The sequence below is a fragment of the Homo sapiens genome, chromosome 1 (assembly GCF_000001405.40).
Source record: "Homo sapiens chromosome 1, GRCh38.p14 Primary Assembly".
NCBI classification, from domain to species: domain Eukaryota; kingdom Metazoa; phylum Chordata; class Mammalia; order Primates; family Hominidae; genus Homo; species Homo sapiens.
The window spans coordinates 19,896,670-19,918,452 of NC_000001.11; the positions used below are offsets into that span (position 1 = coordinate 19,896,670).

Below are 21,783 nucleotides of genomic sequence, written 5' to 3' on the forward strand. Positions count from 1 at the left end.
AAAAGAATGTGCTGATGTTTTGGAGTTTAAACAAAGGAACCATTACTGGGCTTTCTAAGGGACAAAGTTAGAATGAGAGTTTCTTTGGACGTGGCGAGTTTTATTTGGGGTACGCCCAGACCTTAGGGCTTCTGTACTGCACAACTCTAGGGAGCCCCATTCTTGTGCTGTGTGTCAGGGGTGTAGTTCACATAGAATACCTTGTGGGTGGCGCCTGCAGGGTTGAGCGCTACAGGCCGTACTACTTTATGTAATTTTGTTTTGAAGCTGACGTAGGTAGGAGATTTGGGTTTGTTGTTGATGTTTCTCATTTAGGTGGTTAATAGAAAATGCTATTTTCGTTTTAACGAAAGGGGTGGATTTACCTTGAAGCTAATGAAACATCAGGCCACTCATTTGTAGGACTCCCTTTCTAGGTCTTGGGAGAAGTTCTACCAGTTTTATATTTATAATTTTGCATTTTTTTTTTCCTCAAAGAGAGCCTTCAAATAGTTAGGGCTTCAAGCTCAACAAATCTGGATCTGCCCCTGGGCCTTCCCCTTGGAAGGGGCTTGTGCATTAGAGGGGCTCAGAGGTAATACAGCCTCTGAAGCTTAAGCTTATTTAACTTCATCGCAAGTCTGCCCCTGGTTTTTGAATTTCTTACATGATTTATTTCCATGGAGTTACATATTAAATAAGCATACGGAAGCATACACGCATAGGAAGGAGGTAGTTTGGAAATTGCTTGTGACATATCCCAGGTGTGTTCCCAATTAGTGTCTCATAGACCTGCTGACTGGGCTTCCTCAGCAGTCCAGGTGGGTGTTTCTCTCCAGAAGTTGATAGTGTTCAGATCCTCACTGGCATGGCCCCTTCTTTTGTCTACAGATTCGTGGTACAGAGAAAAGCAGCGTGAGGGAGTTACACATCGCATATCGGTATGGAGAGCACTACGACAGTGTTCGGAGGATCAATGACAACTCAGAGGCACCTGCACATCTCCAGACGGATGTGAGTGAGGCCTCGGATTTCTCCCGTATTCCCCGCCCTACAGGAAACAGATTGAGAGCTGTATATCTGGCGCTAAAAACCAGTAATGTTTTTGTAGAAAGTTGGCATTGAGAATCTGTGGGCCTGATTTTAAAAATATTTTTTATTTCTTAGTTTAGGTGAGAGTGATAGATAAAATTGCTTATTATTATTTTGCTTTTTCTGATAGTTGATAGTTACAATTGTATGTGTATAAGATACATGGAATTTTAAAATTATTTTTATGTTTTAAAATTAATCCACACCTTTTTTTTTTTTTTAATTGGAGATGGAGTTTCGCTCTTGTTGCCCAGGCTGGAGTGCAGTGGTGCGATCTCGGCTCACCCAACCTCCGCCTCCCGGGTTCAAGCGATTCTCCTGCCTCAGCCTCCCTAGTAGCTGGGATTACAGGCATGTGCCACCATGCCCGGCTAATTTTGTATTTTTAGTAGAGATGGGGTTTCTCCATGTTGGTCATGCTGGTCTCAAGCTCCTGACCTCAGGTGATCTGCCCACCTTGGCCTCCCAAACTGCTGGGATTACAGGGGTGAGCCACCGCACCTGGCCTAACTCATGCTTCTTATCTGAAATCTGAAAACTATAGTAAAGGTAAAGAAGAAAATAAAAAGCATGTAAAGTCAACTCAGCTACCTGAATGTAAATTTTGTTACTGTTTTGGTAGATTTCCATTAATTTAATGCATTAAAACATGGTTGACATTTTATTTATATAGCTTTGTTTCCTGTTTTTAAAAATTAACATCATTGGCCGGGCGTGGTGGCTCACACCTGTAATCCCAGCACTTTGGGAGGCCGAGGCGGGCGGATCACCTGAGGTCGGGAGTTCAAGACCAGCCTGACCAACACAGAGAAACTCCATCTCTACTAAAAATACAAAATTAGCCGGGTGTGGTGGCGCATGCCTGTAATCCCAGCTACTCGGGAGGCTGAGGCAGGAGAATCACTTGTACCTGGGAGGTGGAGGTTGCAGTGAGTCGACATAGCACCATTGCACTCCAGCCTGGGCAACAAGAGCAAAACTCCATCTCAAAAAAAAAAAAAAAATTAGCATTATTGCATAAACCTTTTTTTCCTGTTTTTACACATGATCCAAAACCATTGTTTTTTAAACAATTTTATTTATTTTTTGAGATAAGGTCTCGCTCTGTTGCTCAGGCTGGAGTGCAGTGGCACCATCACGGCTCACAGCAGGCTTGTCTACGTGGACTCCAGCGATCTTCCCACCTTGGCCTCATGAGTAACTAGGACTACAGGTGTGCGCCACCATGCTTTGTTAATTTTTTAATTTTTTGCAGAGATGAAGTTTTGCTATGTTGCCCAGGCTGCCCTCCAGCTCCTGGGCTCAAGTGATCCTCCTGCCTTGGCCTTCCAACATGTTGGGATTACAGGTGTGAGCCATGGTGCCTGGCAATTTTAATTCTTGAATAGGTCATATTTGTCCATGGATTAGAATTCAAAATATGTAATGGGATATATAGTCAAAGTCACTCTCCTACCCTTGTACTTCAGCCACACTGTTTTCCCTGGATGCAATCAGTGGTATTAGTATATCATAAAATCTCCTGTGGTTTACATACCAAGCAAATATATATATAGATGTGCACATATTCCACTTTTGCCATTTTTACTCTCCCCACCACTAGTTGTAGCATCCTACACATACTACACATCCCACACATACATCCTGCACTGTGCTTTTTAAATTTAACATGTCTTGGGATTTAATTCATGGTAGTACATAAGGAACTTCCTGTATCCTTTTTAAAGGCTGCGTAGTGTTCTGTTCTGTAGATGCATTATAATATTTTTGACCAGTCACTTACTGATGGACTTTTAGGTGGTTTCTAACCCTTTGCTATTATAAGCAATGTGCAGTACCTTTTATGTACCTCATTTCACTCATGTATCTGTGGGACACATTCCTAGAAGGTCCTTGCCACATCAGAGGATGTTGATAAGTGAATTGTCAAATTACGTTCTAACAAGATTTCACCGGTTTAAACTCCCACCTGCAATATGTGGCTCTTTTCCTGCACGGTGCACTTCGTCAACATAGTGTTACCAAATTTTTAAATCCTTTTCATTGTTAGGGGAAAAATTGTTTACTTAACCTAGTTTTAATTTGCATTTCTCTTATTTATGCATCTTTTCCTGTGTTTAAGACATATTTCTATTTTTTGTAAATGGTATTCATTTTCTTTCTCCATTTTTTTCCTATTAAGTTGTCTTAATGATTTTGGGGAGCTTTTTATGTATTAGGGAAATTAGCCTCTGTCTGTGATATGAGTTGCAAATAGTTTTTCGCACTCTGTCATTTGTCTTTTTGTTCTTTCTCCTGTGGTCTTTGCTATGAAAGAATTTTAGATTTTTACATAGTTAAATTTGTTACGATTTTCTTATATGCCCTTTGGATTTTGGGTCATAACTGGGAAAGTCTTTCCCACTCTGAGGTTAAAAAGAATTCTCCCATAGTTTAGAATAGTACTTTCATAGTTTCACTTTATTTATTTATTTATTTTTTGAGACTGGGTCTCACTCTGTCGCCCAGGCTGGAGTGCAGTGCTATGATCATGTTTCACTGCAGCCTCAACCTCCCAGGCTCAAGCGATCCTCCTGAGTAGCTGGGACCACAGCTGTGTACCACTATGCCTGGCTAATTTTTTATTTTTTGTAGAGACAGGGTCTCACTTTGTTGCCCGGGCTGGTCTCGAACTCCTGGACTCAAGCAACCCTCCTGCCTCGACCACCCAAAGTGTTGAGATTACAGATGTAAGCTACTGCACCCAGCTCATAGTTTGACTTAAAAAAAAAATTAAATCTTGGCTTCATCTGAAATTTATATTGAAATAAGGGTAGGAGGCTATGGATCCAACTTTATATTTCCCTTGTGATTACCTAGTTGTACCCAAACCATTGATTAATTATACATCTTTTCTCCACTGATTTAAAATGCCACTTTCTTTCCATATACTAAATTCCCATATGTATTTGGGTCTATTCCTAGACATTTGGTTCTGGTCCACTGATCTCCCTGTTCACATGTTGATGCCTCATTGTTTTAGTTGGTATATTTTAAAATCTGGTAGGATTTTTCACTCATAATTAATTTTCTTTTTATAAGTTTCCTTATATGTTGTCTTTTTTAAAAAAAACAAAATGAATGTTAGAATCAATGTGTCTAGTTCAAAGGAAATCCTATTGAGGTTTTTTTTTTTGTTTTTTTTTTTTTTTTTTTGAGACAGAGTCTTGCTCTGTTGCCCTGTTGCCCAGGCTGGAGTGCAGTGGTGCAACCTCTGCCTCCCGGGTTCAAGCGATTCTCCTGCCTCAGCCTCCCGAGTAGCTGGGATTACAGGCGCTCGCCACTACCCTTGGCTAATGTTTGTATTTTTAGTAGAGACGGGGTTTCACCGTGTTGGCCAGGCTGGTCTTGAACTCCTGACCTCAAGTGATCTGCTTAACTTGGTCTCCCAAAGTGCTGGGGTTACAGGCGTGAGCCACCGTGCCCGGCCCTATTGAGTTTTTTAAAATTGGAATCTCATTAAATTAATAGAGTAATTTAAGGAAAAGCTGACATCTTTTTGATGTTGAGTCTTTTATTATTTAATTGACTTTGTGATCCACAGGAACATTTTCTTCATATAGATCTTGCCCACTTTTTGTTGAGTTTATTCTTAGGAGGTGTTTTGTGTTTTTTGTGTCTATTGTAAAGAGATCTTTTATGTTTTCTAGTTGGTTATCATTTGTCTGTGAGAGCTGTTAATAACAAGATGTTAATTACATAGGTATCCCACAGAACCCCTCTTTTTTTAAAAGTTAAGGCAAAATTCACATAACATAAAATTAATCATTTAAAAATATATAGTCCAGTGGTACTCAGTACATCTGCAGTGTTTGTTGTACAACCACTTCTTCTGTCTAGTCCCAAAATATTTTCATCACCCCAAAAGAAAACCTCATATCCATTAAGCAGTGACTCCCAATTCCCCCTCTCCCCTAGCAGTCACCAATCTGCCCTTCTTCTCTATGAATTTGCCTATTCTGGACATTTTATGTAAATGGAATTATATGTGACTTTTTCTTTGTGGCTTCTTTCCCTCAGTATAATGTTTTTGAGAGTCATTCATGGTGTAGCATGTATCAGTACTTCATTCTTTTTTATGGCTGAATAATATTCCATTGTTTGGAGAGATGATTTTTTGTGCACCCATTCATCTGTTAATGAGCATTTAGGTTGTTCCCACCTTTTGGCTATTGAGAATAGTGCTGCTGTGAGTATATGTGTACAGTATTTTTACAAATACCTATTTTCAGTCTTTTTGGATATACCTCGGAGTGGAATTGCTGGGTCATATGATAAACCTAAATTTAACATTTTGAGGAACTGCCAAACGGTTTTCCACAGCAGCTGCACTGTTTTACTTGCCACCGGTAATGTATGAAGGCTCTGCTTTCTCTTCATCCTCTCTGACAAATGTTTTTTTCTTAAATGGTCATCCTAGTTAGTATCTTAAAGTTTTTTTTCGAGACGGAGTCTTGCTCTGTCGCCCAGGCTGGAGTGCAGCGGCACGATCGTGGCTCACTGGCAAGCTCCGCCTCCCGGGTTCACGCCATTCTTCTGCCTCAGCCTCCCGAGTAGCTGGGACTACAGGGACCCACCGCCACGCCCAGCTAAATTTTTGTGTTTTTAGTGGAGACAGGGTTTCATCGTGTTAGCCAGGATGGTCTCGATCTCCTGACCTCGTGATCCACCCACCTCGGCCTCCCAAAGTGCTGGGATTACAGGCATGAGCCACCACGCCCGGCCAGTATCTTAAAGTTTTGAATTGCATTTTCTTAATAGCTAATGACATTGAACATCTTTTCATGTGGTTTTCGGCCATTTGTATATCTTTGGAAAAATGTCTATTCAAGTCTTTTGCCTATTTTTTAATTGGGTTCTGCCTTTTTGAGTTGTAAGAGTTTTTTAATATATTCTAGATGCTAGATTCTTACCCAGGTATATGATTTGCTGTAATTTTTTTGGTTTGCAGTAGTTTTTTGTTGATTCTCTTGTTTCAGTTACAGAATTATATCATCTACAAAGACAGATTACTTTTTTCTTTTTAATTTTATACTTAAAATTTATTTTGGCTAAATACTTTGGCTGTTACCTCCAAAATATTGTTAAGTAATAATGGGGGGAGTGATTATTGTGTTTCTTCCTTTAGTGGGAATGAAGACATCATTCTGTGGATTTACAGTGGTTATTTAACCATATCCATACTATAAAGCCTTTGGGTGGTTTCCAGTTATTCACCACTATAAGTAACACTGTTAGCACTTTTACCTGAATCTTTTCTCTTTTTTTTTTTTTTTTTTTTTTTTTGAGACAAGGTCTAGCTCTGTTGTCCAGGCTGGAATGCAGTGGTGTGATCTCGGCTCACTGCAACCTCCACCTCCTGGGCTCAAGCCATCCTCCCAGCTCAGCCTCCTGAATAGCTGGGACTACAGGTGCATGCCACCATGTCCAAATAATTCTTTTGTATTTTTTTTGTAGAGACGGGATGTCACTTTGTTGCCCAGGCTGGTTTTGAACTCCTGAGGTCAAGTGACCCACCCCCATCAGCCTCCCAAAGTGCTGGGATTACAGGTGTGAGCCACTGCACCAGGCCCATAAATCTTTTCTCTATTTGATATTATTTCCTTTGGCTAAATTTCAAAACTGTGAAACTACCGGCTCAAAGACTCCTGTAACTTTGTCAAATTCTTAGGGTTTAATTTTATAATAGAATGTTTTGTATTAACATTCTGAGGAATATACTGTACATTGCTGGAGTCCACTATATGTTTACATTCAAAAAATAGAACTGTCTTTGCCCATTTACCTATCTCCCTGCATCAATGGGAAGCAGAAGAAGAAGGTGGTTGAGCATCTACAGAGGGATGATTTTAGCTTTTCTGATTTAAGGCCCAGGTTGTAAAGGTCTCATGGATCCCAAGTGAACTGTTGTTTGTGGCTTTAGGATTTGGATTGACAAGTTTCCCTGGGTGTGGTGGTATGTACCTGAGGTTAGATGAGTCATGCTCATCCGTGACTGTCCAGCTGGGACGGGAGCTTCAGTACCTCTAAGCGTGCTGATGATCAAATAAGGCTTGGGAACCAGAGGGAAGTTGTATGTAGGTTTCTTCAAGACCAGCACCGTTTTTGTGCAAAAGTTCACCAGGTGCGAGTATAGAGGATCGTTTTCTGTTAAGCTCACGGCTCTGAAAATCAGCTGAGGTGACTGTGTGCTGTCAGAGGCAGCAGTCATTTGCCAGTGTTGGCATTTAGACATGGGAGTGCGAATGCCTTTCTTACTGAGCAGTTATTCTGTCTTTTGGGCCTTTCTTTTCAATTCCTCTGTTGTGACTCAAAGTACAATGAGTGGATAAAATGGAGCCTAGTCATTGCTGTTCTCTTAAGGTTGTTTCTAGAAGGTTTTCCCCTATATATATGAATTTTTCCAGATTAGAGTGTCTTGTGTTAAAGATTCTGAACATAGTTTGATTCTCAACATAGTTCCCTGATTATTACTTGTTTCCTTTAGTTTCAGATGCTTCATCAAGATGAATCAAATAAAAGAGAAAAGATCAAGACAAAGGGAATGGACTCTGAAGACGACCTGAGAGATGAAGTAGAGGATGCTGTCCAGAAAGTTTGTAATGCAACTGGATGTTCAGTTAGTATTTCTGTCTTGCAGGAATGATTTAGAAGCAAGCATTGCTGTGCCTAGCTTACTTCTTAGTTTCGTAGCACCTCTCTAGCATATCAGCACCTTGTGGGCCAAAATAGGCCCATGAGATTTGTAGTTTGATTAGTGTATGTGGCTTAATGAGAGCTGTTTATTAATTTCCCTGTTGTTTGCTAGACTTCACCCAGTACTGCTCAAAGGTCTTAGGAAGTATGTGGATTTAATTTTTCCTGACTAGTGTTTACAGTAGTACAAATGCAGTTTTATAGAGGGAATTCATTTATAAGTGTACATTAGACGGTTATTTCAAGGGACCAACCTTATTGGAAATCGACATTTTTCTAAATGGAAAAGGTCCTGAAACCTTGTGTTAATTCTCACTATTACATCTTTATGTTTATGATTATTGAAGTAGAGCTAGGCAGAAAAATATACCCAGAGTTTTGAAGTGGTTTTTTTGTTTGTTTGTTTCTTGGATAGGATTTTAATTTAATAGTCCAGAACCTGGAAGCTGAAAATTATAATATTGAATCTGCAATAATTGCCGTGCTTCGGATGAACCAAGGGAAGAGAAATAGTAAGTCCATGACTAATATTTATAGATCTTCAAAATGGTTGTGTTGGTAATTTTCCAAATATTTATTTTTTAACCAAGTCACAGGTGGTAACTGTTCTGTCATTCATTTAGGAGTTGTTTATTGAGCACGTTCTGTACGTAGACATTTTTTACTAGGTCCTGTCTCTGCTTCAGGGGGAGTATAGTTCAGGGGTAGAGGGTGGATAGTGGAGACAGATAAACTGGTGCGATAGTACATAATGGGGTTGGGAGTACAGGGTGCTGGGGGACGCATCAGGGAAGAATTAGCCTGTTTAGAAATAAGATGGCCTTAGAAGACCAAAATGATAACCAAAATAAAATGGAGAGAGAAATACCTTGTTTTTCTGGTGGAAATATTTAGATTTGTATTAGCTTGTGATAATTTTGATTTTTTTTTTTTAATTTGAACCAAGTATAATTTTGTGACTCAGAGGAAAGAAAAGAGATGTAACGGCTGGGTGTGGTGGCTCACACCTGTAATCCCAGCACTTTGGGAGGCTGAGGCAGGTGGATCACGAGGTCAGGAGTTTGAGACCAGCCTGACGAACATGGTGAAACCCCGTCTCTACTAAAAATACAAAAATTAGCTGGGTGTGGTGGCGGGTGCCTGTAATCCCAGCTACTCAGGAGGCTGAGGCAGGAGAATTGCTTGAACCTGGGAGGTGGTGGTTACAGTGAGCTAAGATCGCACCATTGCACTCCAGCCTGGGCAACAGAGCGAGACTCCCTCTCAAAAAAAAGAGAAAAGGATGTAACATCTTATTAATTTCTCAAGTCATTTATTTAAAATGATATCAATAAATACTGATTGCCAGATGTTACGTGTCAGATACTGTTTCTGGCATCATAGTGCTCCATGTGATGAGGTATTTTATTATCCACTATGTATTGGCTGTACTTTTAGAAATCTGTAAGTAACTTGGTCTTTGTGACTTTAAACAGCACCCTCCAGTGATCTGTGCTGTTCAGTATAGTGTGTACCTGCCACATGAGCAATGAGACTGGAGAGCTACGTTTTAAATGTTGTTTAATTTTAATTTAAATGTAAATGGCCACATATAGCTGGTGGCTAATACATTGGACAGCACAGCTTTAGAGCCTGTTTCTTTTCTGGGTTTTGGGTGCAAATGAAAGATTTTCCCATAAAAATTCATGTTAAGACATAATTTATCTAAAAAGCACTCTGCTGGTTGGAAGCTGATCAAAAGGCTGGTCAGTGGGTTATTTTAGAATTTATCTTCCAACTTTTACCAACTTTTTCTTCCTATGTTTCCCACTGTCTTGACATTCGAATTTGTCTCAAGGAAACTTACTTCCCTTATGACTGAAGTAGGGACCCAGGTAATTTTGGAATCATTAATACAGTCATCACCCTGTGTAACTCTCAGGTTCTCAGTTTTAATGAAATGTCTTTCTTTGGAAGATGCAGAAGAGAATCTTGAGCCCAGTGGTCGAGTGCTGAAGCAGTGTGGCCCTTTGTGGGAGGAGGGTGGCAGTGGTGCCAGAATCTTTGGAAATCAGGGCTTAAATGAAGGCAGGACCGAAAACAATAAGGCACAGGCCAGCCCTAGTGAAGAAAACAAAGCAAATAAAAACCAGCTCGCAAAGGTATGTAAGATGGGGTTGAATGGGCAGGTGGTGGGCAGGTGTAATTCTGTGGCAGTGGTGGTAGCTTGAGATTAATTTTATTTGTATTTTCCTTCTGATTTATAAAAGTAGTGTGGAAAATCTGGGGAATGCATAAAGCTACATCAAGAAGCAGAATGACCTCACTTATCCTGTTTGGTGTATGCCGTGACAGTTGGAAGGAAATACACCCTGAAATTGTCCTCAGTGTACAAATGAAAAGCCTCCTTTTCCCACCTAACATTACTGTACATGTGGGCTCTTCCCATGTTTATCCATGTTTTTTATAAATGCCATGATCTGCAATGAACACCTTTGTGTATAAATCTTTGGTTTTTGCATTATTTTCTTGAATAAAGTCCCAGAAGAGGAATGAACAGGTTAAAGGTCATGGATACATGAATCTTTTAAAGGCTTTTGGTAAATTGTCACGTGCTTCCCAGAAAGGTACATCTCCCTCCCTGCCCTTCACTCCCACAAGTAGTATGTGACATCTTCCATTTTACTGAATTTGGAATCATTTTAAAGATTTTCACCAAGAAGTTCTGAGCTCAAAATGCCACAGTGTAAAAAGCCACAGCAGAGGCAGAGATGCAATAAGCTTCTGAGGATTTTGTCAGAATTACCTGGGGCATTAAATTATGTGGGGAAAAATGTTCTCTGACACGTTTGTTTGTTACCAACTCTTGCTGGATGAGGGCTGGTTTCTTTAAGAGAAGAATGGAATTGATTTTGTTTGCTAGTTCAGCAAGGAAATATAAATTTAAATGCAAATTTGAGCAGCAGTGGACAGTAAATCATCTTTGGCGTCTTAGATTGGTTTTCCCTGTTCCTGCTGAAAAGCAATCTGTGCCCTTTGCCACCATCTCCCTTCTAGCAGGTGGCAGCTTGAGTCCCCCGTGCTTCCTACTCACCACCATGGCCTTCTCTCTCAGGTCACAAACAAACAGAGGCGAGAACAGCAGTGGATGGAGAAGAAGAAGCGGCAGGAGGAGAGGCACCGCCACAAAGCCCTGGAGAGCAGAGGTAGCCACAGGGACAATAACAGAAGCGAAGCAGAGGCGAACACGCAGGTCACCTTGGTGAAGACCTTCGCCGCTCTCAACATCTGACTCTTTGGCCTCTTGGGAGTTGTAAGAAGCGGCTGGAAAAGGATTGCTGTGTGCTAGACTTTCCAGTGAGGCCGTCCTTTTATAAAACGCAACACAACCAACGAAGCCCACACATGAGCTCACACACTGAGTTAGTTTCGTTCAAGCTGCCTCTTTTTTTGTTCGAAGTTTTATTAGTGATATGTTGGTGTTTTATGAAAATGCAGTGAGGCCATTCATATTCTGTAATACAAAATTAAAATACTGAGTTTTAGGGGCAGATAGTTAGGTCAGGAAAAACCTTTTAAGTGGTGGCTTTATTTGCCCTGAAAATCAGACTTCAGTGACCCTAGGATCTTTCCTTAACATTTGGGGTGAGTTTTGCTGTAATTGTTCATGAGTAGTTTAGAATAATTGTTAGAAATTCAGAATGACAAGTTTCCTTAGTTTCTCTTTCATTCTCAAACAGATATATAGGGTAGCTTATAAATGATCTCCAACTCAGGAATATGCTTTGATTTACTTCTAATCCAAGTTACTCAGAAAATAATTCAGGAATTGTTTTCCCAAAGTTACGTGAGGGTTGTGGCCTGCAGTCAGGATGGAAATTAACCGCATTTCTCTCCTTCCTGATTCTGATGTTATTTCAGATGGGATGCAGGTGCTGTTAGTTCATTTGCACTCAAGCCATATGATAAATGCAGCTGACTGTTAATTAGGCCTGGCCTTGTTGGGAAGTTGATAGTGGTGTTGGGTTTTTGGTATTTGTTTCCTGACAGTGGGGAGATGGCATGTTACTGCTTGTGATACAGTTCTGGAATTCTGATAGTGTGTAGAGCAGGGTCTATAGTTGTAACAGGAGACGAACTCCTGGGGTTTTGCCTAAGAGGAGTCTAAAGAATTATGTTTTTATAGGAGAAGCCTGGAAGAATAAGGTTTTTCATGTTCGCATTTTAAATAACGATTTTCTTCCCTTCTGTTGTAGACTTAGATGCCTTCAGAGAGATACGTGGTAACTTGACCTTATAGGTCGCTAAACTTAGTATTGTGGAAATTAAATCTTATAAAATGCTACATTTATTTCTTTTTATTTAAGCCCTGTTTGGCATTTCAAAGTTGGGAAAACTCCAGCATCTGCTGGAAGTTGTTGGACCAGCAGGGTTGGTTGACTTAGGTTGGACCAGCAGAGAAGAGAACATACTTTGGTTGAGGCCTTCGAATCACTCTTCAGTTCTGAAATAGACAGACTTGAGCAGTGGAGAGACGTCTTTCCTAAAACTGAGTTAGGTGGATGTGAACTTAAGAACTATAACGTATGAGGCAGCCCATCTTGGATCATCTTTGTCTTTTGGGACCTAATACTTGGGCAAATAATTGATGCTGAGTTGAAAGGTAAATTATTAGTTATCTTCCCCACCCCTCGCATTTCAGAATTATAAAAATTCGGAGGCAAATTGAAAACTAAAATGTTTGGTAGGCCCTGGAGTCGCCAGATTGTCTTTATCACCAGGCCTTTGGCTTTCTTCAGTTTCACTGGTATCTTTTGGTTTTGTTTTTGACTTTGGTGGCTTTTTGTAGTTGGAGCATCAGTAGTCTCTTGGAATTGCTCCTAGGACATTGTGGTTTAGGTTTCTTCCTGGGTACAGTACATTGTAAAATTTAGCAGATTAAAAAAAGTACACAGCATTTTTTTTCTGTGCACGTCGCAGAGTCCTGAGCTTGAGGCTGTGTTACTCTACTCATTCCAAACGAATGAAAGATCTCTGTTGCCTTACTCTAAGGAAGTGGGATCGAGTGCGTTAGGATCTATGGTTGTCTTGGTTTTCAACTCTGGGCAGATTCCTGACTGGCTGAGTGTTTCTGAATGAAGATGTTTTCCTGTCTGTTTTGTACTGCTTGAGTGCAGAGGCCAGATCCTCTCAGAAAGATAAGATTGTATGCCAGAAATTCAGATTAGCAGTCAGCTTAAGAGAGACTTATTGTCAGAAGTAGTAGAATTGCTTTATTTACTTGGTTAATGAAGGTGGCCTTGGGCCCTATTGGGTTTTAGAAGTTTTAGAAGCTGCTAAAAAGTTATTAAAGAATATTGGGAACATTTATTTTTTAAATTACCTAATTCTGGTAATAGGCTTCAGCATTTCTGGAGTATAATAATGGTGGTTTAAAAAACTAATCAAACGGCTTTAGTAATTTTACTACTGGTTTCACAGCTTTTCAGTTACAGTTGGTCTGTTTAGTGTGTTAATTATTAGGAATCGGGTACATGCATCCAACTTCAGTGATACCTTCTAGCTAATGGTTTCAATTTAGACTTCACTGCCTCAGTCTCACTGGGTACATGAGAAGGTTGGAATCAACATGCTTAGTTGCCTCAGTGGGCACTTGAAAATTCCTTCACTGGCAGCCCGAGTGGAGGCCCAGTATGTCTAGTCCTGGGATGACTGTTGTCAGCAGCTGTTACTCTAGTACAGGTGCTCCTGTGAACTCTTTATTAGGAACTGAATGTGTCTTAACCTCTGTGTTACATCTTGGCTGGCAGAGATTTATGTTACATGAGATTGTCTTGGTAGCTTGTAGTGTGGTCAGGAGAAAGGGGATGGAGCAGTGGTGCATAGCTGCTTACTGCTCTTATAAACGGTATATAAAGGTTTTACGGATTTTGAAAATATTTTTTTTTAGAGGTCAAAATAAATACCATTTTAGTGGCAACAGCTTTGAACTAGAGAGGTAGATGTATTAAAGCAGCATAGAACCATAACTTCTAGATAATGTAGTTGCCACTAGGAGATATTAGAAAGTTAGAATGTATGTGTGTATTTAGTTTTTCAATAATAATGAACATACACTTTCAGGAGCAAAGTATGGTTGAGAAATTGTGGCAGAAAGAATTTTAAATGTTAGTCGAAGTTGTCTGTAGTTTCTTTATTAAGCTCTGAAAACACTTCCAATGCCAGTTTGATTCTGAGGGCTTGGGAAGTGGGATCTCCCTTGTGGAGCAGCTGGAGCTGGCTGGGAGGGAGCCTCTCCATGGGTAATTTATTATGCCTGCCCTGCTTCCCCCAGGGAGCTGCTTCAGTGTGAAATGATGTGATTGTCGGGGGTGGGGTGGGAGGAGGGCCACCTTCAGTCGGGGAGTTGCTCACATATTACACAGGTAGCATCAGGTGGACTTCAGCGCTGAACTGTACTAGTAGTGAGTCCCTGTAGTCAATGTGCAATTTCTCTAATTCTGAGAAACTCTGTAGACTCTGCCTGGGTTTTACTGGGTCAGCATAGAATGCTATCAGTTTACCTCTGTGAAATATTCAGTCAGTTGAAGGAAACTTGGATTCCTAGTCAGAGGTGACTAAAAGTTACCCTGACCAAAAGGATCTCTGCGGGGGGAAGAGAATGGAGCTTCCTGATTTTAATGTGTTGCGTCAGTGGCCCTCTTCGACTCCCGTTTTGGGTAGATGCGTAGCTCTTCACTTTCTTACCTCAAGGCTCTGTCTAGCCATGTTAAATCTTTAGACTCAGTCTGATGCCGTTTTTCTGTTTTGCCATTCTCATTATTCACAGCTTTCAGAACAAGTGTTGCTAAAACTCCGGGGCCTTTGACAGTTGTTCTGAGGTGATTTAATAATGGACTTTTTATAAGTTATGTTTTCCTGGCTCTAAAGTAAATTTTTTTTTTTTTTTTTTTGAGACAGAGTCTTGCTTTGTTGCCCAGGCTGGAGTGTGGTGGGGCAATCTCGGCTCACTGCAACCTCCACCTCCCGGGTTCAAGCGATTCTCCTGCCTCAGCCTCCTGAGTAGCTGGGATTACAGGTGTGTGCCACCATGCTTGGCTAATTTTTGTATTTTTAGTAGAGACGGGGTTTCACCATGTTAGCCAGGCTGGTCTCAAACTCCTGACCTTGTGATCTGCCCGCCTCAGCCTCCCAAAGTGCTAGGATTACGGGTGTGAGCAACCCTGCCCGGCCAGTAAATTGTATTTTTTTAATGACATCATTGATTTGAAGATCTAGATGGCATAAATTACGACGTCTGCCATCGCATATTAGAAAGGGGACAGTCATATTTGTAACGTGGAGAGAACACGGAGCACCAGTCACCACGTGCACTTAGGATGCAGAGCTTACCGCACACCGCTGATGGGGACCTCCGGAAAGAGCGGTGCCTTGTGGTTGGCCTGGAAGTTCTCTCCCAAGGTGAAATTCCTTTAAAACCTCAGGCTCTGACCTATGTCTTTGAAGCAGCTGCTTTGTAGAGTCCCTCTCTTTACTGTCCTCGTTAGGACTGTTTTGTGGTTCCATGAAAATGTTTAGCATCCTTGCAGAATTACTTGAGAAGGGGCTGGTACCAGTGTAAAGAATCTATTTCTGTAAAACTACGAACTTTTGCATAGGGAATTTATTCTAAGCAGGTCATAGCCGTGATCCAGAGCTGCTGCTGCTCACTGCCAGTCCTTGCGGCTGGCGGCGATTGCCGGACAGACTCTCTGTGGCCTGGCTCTCATCCTTGGCGTGTCAGCCTGCGGCAGGCTGCCAGCCATCCATGACAATCATGTGAGCTCAGCCACAGACCTCAGCTGGCGGTTTGATCCCTGGCAGGTCCCTCGAGCAGTACTGGTAAGAGGCTTCACACATTTTCCCACTCTTACAGTTCATTTTTCATAGTAGGAAGGGCCCTTGGCCTCCCCAGTGCCTCTTCCAGAGCCTCCACCAGCACTAAGCTCAGAGGAAAGAAGAAAAGGGCCAGGAGTCAGACGTCACACCCGGGGGCTCCCCTTTCCCATGTAGAAGTGTTGGCATGCGTCAGTCTCCTTTACAGAGGGGTGGATGTATCCGTGGAGGAGGGGCCTTCTCTCTTTCTAATTGCACTATACTTGTTCTAGCTTCAGTCTGGAGATACTTAAGACCTCCATGGGGTCGTGATCCATAGACTTAGCAAGTCTTGCCTTATCTATGGAGCTCGATGGTGAGAATTGTGACCATTGTCTGATGTCCATAGTTCCTTCCCCCTAGATTGTTTCTTTCCACGGATTGTGTTCATCTGAACCATTTTATTTTTTATTTACCAAAGTACTGTACTTGGCTATTTGCAGTGTTTTCAAAACCAAATGTTTCTTTTTTTGTGTTTTTAATCTTCGATACTTGGTGCAATAGAAGCTGCAAAGATGTGCCACTTTATCTATGAAATGGAGTTTTGTATACCAATAAATTCTAGTTTAAAAACAAAGTTTTAAGTTGTTTTTATCAGTATCTGACCACCGTTTGAGTGAATGCAAGGAGGCTGAGTGTGCTGGGAAATGTCCTTTTTGGAGACCTTTGTGTGGAAGCTTTGCGTGTTTGCGTGTGCTGGATTGAGTATTCTAGGTGTATAATAGTACTTTGGGATCTGACTAAGCTTAGAACAGCTGATTTTTGCTTTAGTGCAGCTAAATGCAGCCACCAAACACAATGGCAGGGTCATTCTTAAGGACTACACACTTAAGATTTCTGCCTGATATCTGAGAGCATCTCTTGATAAGTTTGAAACTGTTTAAATATGTAGCAGTTGTCTGTCAGCGGCCACTTTGGGCTCCTCTAGAACTCTCAAGATTGTTTGACCCCATTCAAGGAGGAGGCTCCCTGCCAAGGCACAGACAGTACCATCTGGGGGCACAACTCACCTAGAAGGGTCCACAGGAAACCAGAGCGAAGGGAGTCCTTCATTGCGTCCAGCAGGGGCCCCATCCACACAAGGGCTCTGGCTCGGCAGACCTCACCATGTCATGATTTTGACCTTGAGACTCCCATTCTCCCATTCTTCATTTTGTATTCAACAAGCAGCCTTCTGAATTGGCTCCCTGTTGCCTTGACACAAAAAAGGACTAGATGGTTTTCTGGATGAAAGTCAAGAATATTCTAGCTTCTGCAAGCAGATTCTCCCACAATCTCTCAAGTGATCTTCTCTGTGTGATTCTTCTTCAGTCCACAACTGAGAGACCCATCATCTCTGGATAGACACACACTGTCTGGTTCCTGAGCCTGTGAGGCCCAGATTCCAGACCCCATTTAACCTGAGATTCTTCCAGGAAATCTGCTATGGTCCAAAGTGATGTCCCAATCCAGGTGCTGCCCGCACACTGGAAAACTTCCATGGCCTCCTTAATCCCATTCCAGGGATTCAGCTGGGGCCAGGTGGCTGCTGCTAGGGATTAGAGGGGCTTCCTGTTTGGGCAGCGTTGGACCAGGTGACCTGTAAGATCCTGTGTGGGAGATAGGATGAGTCTTTAAGGACAGAGAAGTGTTCTTGAGCCAGGTAGGGACAAGTGGCTGTGCCTTTGTCCCTTCTTGGTAACCGCTCATGGTCACCTTGGAGAAAGCCTGGCTGAAAACCTGGGTGTTTAGAGTTGCATCAGCGAGTCACCACCCCAGGCTTCTGGCCTTTCCCTTCCTCCAATGCACAGAAACAAGAGTGTGTGTCTTGAGACACAGTTCATAAAAAGCTCTGCTCCAATATGGTTTTGGCTGGACAGAATGGTTTTTGCTGATGGAATGGGCACTCTCAGACCATTGAGATGCAGAGATTTAGAACTTGGTTGCAAAGGCTTGAGGCCAGTCCTGTCACTTCACAGATTCTGGCTTGGCAGAAGGAAACATTTCCTATCTTCTTGGAGAAACTTGTCTGAACCTCCCTATGGTAGAAGGACTTGGGTATCCCCAGAGGATTGTTTCTGTTCAATTTATTCATCTAAACATCCAAGAATCCATCTGACATCTAGTGAACCTCTACTCTGTATGGGTCCTTATTTCTGGGCATTGAAACAGTCATGGATCCTGCCTTCAAAAAGCCTCCAGTCCGGGAATGAAAGTGGACACGTCACTGACCCAGGAGAGAGCACATGCCATAAAGGAGGTACTGATGAGAGGGCTGTGAGTTCAGAGAATTCGGGAAGGCTTGGTGGAGGAAGTGAGATTTGGACGAGGCACGAAAGGGGAGACAGGATACAGAAATAGGGAGCGAAGACATGTTGGACTGAATGGCCAGCGCAAGCAAAACCTAGGAGTGGGATGGGTATGCTCCAGTGTTTAGGACAGAGCTTATTATGGATGTATAATCAGTTTGGAGAAAGACTGGGAACTTCTTGAAACACCTCTCATGTGCCTTTCACTACTGGAAGAGTAGTGCTGTGCTTGCTGAATGGATTCTCAAGATCAGGCCTGGGTGCAGTGGCTGACATCTGTAATCCCTGCACTTTGGGAGGCTGGGGCAGGAGGCTTGCTCACACTCAGGAGTTCAAGACCAGTTTGGTCAATCTAGCGAGATCCCGTCTCTATGCATGCACACACAAAATTACTGGGGTTTGGGGCTGGGTGCCTGTCTGTAGTCCCTCCTACTCAGGAGGCTGAGGCAGGAGGATCACTTGAGCTCAGGAGTATTAGGCTGCAGTGAGCTTTATCACACCACAACACTCCAGCCTGGGTGACAGGGTGAGACCCTGTCTCAAAACCCCAAAACAACAAAGATCTGCCTGACGGCTTTTTAGTGTCTGGAGTTGGCCTGTGTGTGCATTCTAACCTGGCAATGTTACAGGTAGCGCCTGCCTGGAAAAATGCTGCACCATCTATCTCTGCCTTTGGGGGACATTAGCGCAGAATTCAATTGAACAGGTACCTGTTTAGCATCTACTGTGTGACATTTGCAATTGGAGAGCAAAAATACAGAAGGTGGCCAAGCGTAGATGGAGCAGCTAGCATGCCCCGGACACTTTGGATACATGGTCTCATTTGAACTTGAAAACCACCCTGTGAGGCTGATGGTTCTATTCAGGAATAAATAATTGTCCCAAGATCACAGCTTAGTAGCAGAGACAGGATTTGAACCCAGAGCAGTCTGCCGCCACCATGCAAGGACCCAAATAACGGGATAAGCAGTTCTAGGAAAGGTATAAACACAGCTTGGCAGTTCAAGGAGGGTGAAATCCGCTCCAATTGAAACAGCATCATAGAAAAGGTGACATTTGGGACTGGGCAGGGTGGCTTATCCCTGTAATCCCAACAGTTTGGGAGGCTGAGGCAGGAGGATTGCTTGAGGCCAGGAGTTTGAGACCAGCCTGGCAACATAGCGAGACCCGGTCTCTACCAAAAATAAGTAAGTTAGCCAGAATTGATGGCACACACCTGTTGTCCCAGCTACGTGGGAGGCTAAGGTGGGAGGCTTGCTTGAGTCGAGGAGGTTAAGGCTGCAGTGAACTATGATCGTGCCACTGCAGTCCAACCTGGGCAAGAGGGAGACCCTGTCTCTGAATATAAAGGAAGAGACGACATTTGGGATTCACTTTAAGCCCATGGATTTTAGCGTGGTGATGTGCCTGTGGGCAAGGGAGGCTTTTAGGTTGAGAGAAGCTACTGCACAAGGATATGAAGGCAGGACAGCAGAGGAGCTTAGTAAATAGATATTGCTGCATAAGAGGCTGGAAAAGCAGATGACACCAAGCCTGGAATACCAGGGGCTGGTGGACAATGGGGAGTCACTGATGGTTCAGGAGCAGAGGAGTGACATGATGAAAATCAGGCTCTGGGAAAATGAAGCTGGCATCAGTGGACAGGATGGAGATGTGATGAAGGATGGAGGGTTTAAGAACCATTAGTCCTGATACTCTCTTGTTAGGGGTGTCACATTACTTGCTAGTGTAGAATTATTGCTGTTTTCTGTCTGCTGGTTGACTCTGTCTGATTCGTGTCTATCTCCAGCATCCAGGAAAAGACCAGAAGCATAATTTGCATAAAACTTATTGAAGGAAAGAATTAACTTTAGTATTCAGTTCTCTGGTGGTGACATTGCAAAGAACCCCAGTGAAGCAGATGCATGTCCAGGAAATCCTAATCAGACTCCTCATTGAACTTGGGAATTCCACTGTGATTTCTGGTCACTAATTGAGGAAGGTCTTTACCTTTGCACTTCATGCATAGCTTTTGTTAGGTGCTAAATAGGAACAAAAGCAAAACCAATCCAAATCCTCTCATCAAAATTGGAGAGGCAAACTATGAAACATTTAGGTAAGAATGTCCCCTCCCCAGCTTTGACACAGTCCCGTTGCCTACTTTACTCATCCAATGAATTAGCACACATAAAGCACTTACAACAGTGCCTGGCAAATGCCTAGTGCACAGCAAGTGTTAGCTATTGTTAATGACTATCCATTCATTCATTCCTAGAACACGAGTGATTTTTCAGTGCTAGCCATTATTTGTACATTTTCATGCATGTTATCTCAAACTTTGCCATAACCAGCCTGCTGGGGAAATGTCATACTTCCATTTGACAAATGCAGAGACTGAGACTCCATTTATCAGCACTTAGATTTTAATGTGCACACGAATCATCAGGGGGGCTTGTTAACTTACAGATTCTGATTCAGCAGGTCTGGGGTCAGGTCCAAGATTCTGCATTTTGAACAGGATCCCTGCTGCTGCTTCTGCGGCTGCCCCTGCCCATGGACCACGTTGAATAGCAAAGGTCTAAGCAGAGCCACTGCTGCTAAAGCGGCAGAACAAAGCGCTCTACCTGGAACCTCCCAGTTCAAGTTCAGGCTTCTCCCTTCCTTTTTTTCAGTCTCTTTTGCAAGTCTGCTGCTGGGTATCAAGGGTTCTCTAGATACGCACACATAGGCAAACAGGATTTAAGCAGGCCCCTTGATCCCGTCATCAAACATTTATTGGCCAGGCGCGGTGGCTCACGCCTGTAATCCCAGCACTTTGGGAGGCCGAGGTAGGCGGATCACGAGGTCAGGAGATCGAGACCATCCTGACTAACACGGTGAAACCCCGTCTCTACTAAAAATACAAAAAATTAGCCAGGCATGTTGGCGGGCGCCTGTAGTCCCAGCTACTGGGGAGGCTGAGGCAGGAGAATGGCGTGAACCCGGGAGGCGGAGCTTGCAGTGAGCCGAGATCGTGCCACTGCACTCCATCCTGGGCGACAGAGCGAGACTCCGTCTCAAAAAAACAAAACAAAACAAAAAACCCAAAACATTTATCGAGCCCTGGGAAAGCAAAGAGTAAAGGCTGGTCTGTGGCCAAAAGACAGCTTGGTTTTGGTGGGTGGGGGTGGGTGAGTAGCAGGGGTCACAGCAGGCTGCGCTGGAATCTTGCTCCTAAGTTTCAATGTTTGTTTCGTCGGACAGTTATACAACTGTTAAGATCATCAGGTAGGTGTCCCATTGGTACCTTAAATCCATCATGCCCAGGTGTCACCTCTCTCTAATCTGCCCCATCAGCTCCTTCTCCCTGTGTTTTCTGTTTCTGCAGTGGCCATCATCCTCAGATGGTTGTATGGCCTTCTTTGGCATTTTCTCAGTATATTTATTTATGAAAATGTGAGGGGACCAATTTCACTAGCCCAGAAGCACACTTTGCCCACCTGAGGAAGAGAAATCGAGGTTTAAGCCAAGCGCAGGTTTCTCCCTAGTGGCCTGAATGAAATGGACACCAGAGGGCGCCTCAGGACCACTTTTCCTGCAAAGGAGGTTTGCATTCTTCCCCCACACAGGCCGTTTTTGCTTTAAGACATGGTCTTCTGGTGATACTTGGCTGAGGATTTGAGTCAGTTACAACAGCAAAGTACACACGCCTGTCCTCCCTTTCTTCTCCTCCTTCCTTTTGCTAGCACAGAGCTTCTTCACCTTTTAAAGGTCACAGCGATACATCCCTTTGATTTTTTTTTTTTTTTTTTTGAGATGGAGTTTCTACTCTTGTTGC

General features: G+C 42.8%; 1 protein-coding gene across 7 annotated transcripts in view; it reads left to right on the forward strand.

Annotated features, from left to right (window-relative positions):
* OTUD3 (OTU deubiquitinase 3) overlaps nt 1–16,276 on the forward strand; it is a 30,551-nt gene extending 14,275 nt beyond the window's left edge. For 4 of the 7 annotated variants that reach the window (NM_015207.2, XM_024454320.2, XM_047415806.1 and 1 more), the window contains 5 exons: nt 871–993; nt 7,598–7,729; nt 8,222–8,318; nt 9,763–9,947; nt 10,901–16,276. In NM_015207.2, the coding sequence (NP_056022.1) occupies nt 871–993; nt 7,598–7,729; nt 8,222–8,318; nt 9,763–9,947; nt 10,901–11,077 (714 nt within the window). In that variant the 3' untranslated portion in view covers nt 11,078–16,276. The remainder of the gene's footprint in view (nt 1–870; nt 994–7,597; nt 7,730–8,221; nt 8,319–9,762; nt 9,948–10,900) is intronic. The other 3 variants (XM_005245792.5, XM_005245793.5, XM_047415799.1) reach the window with 3 other exon arrangements.
* The last annotated feature ends 5,507 nt before the right edge of the window (nt 16,277–21,783 follow it).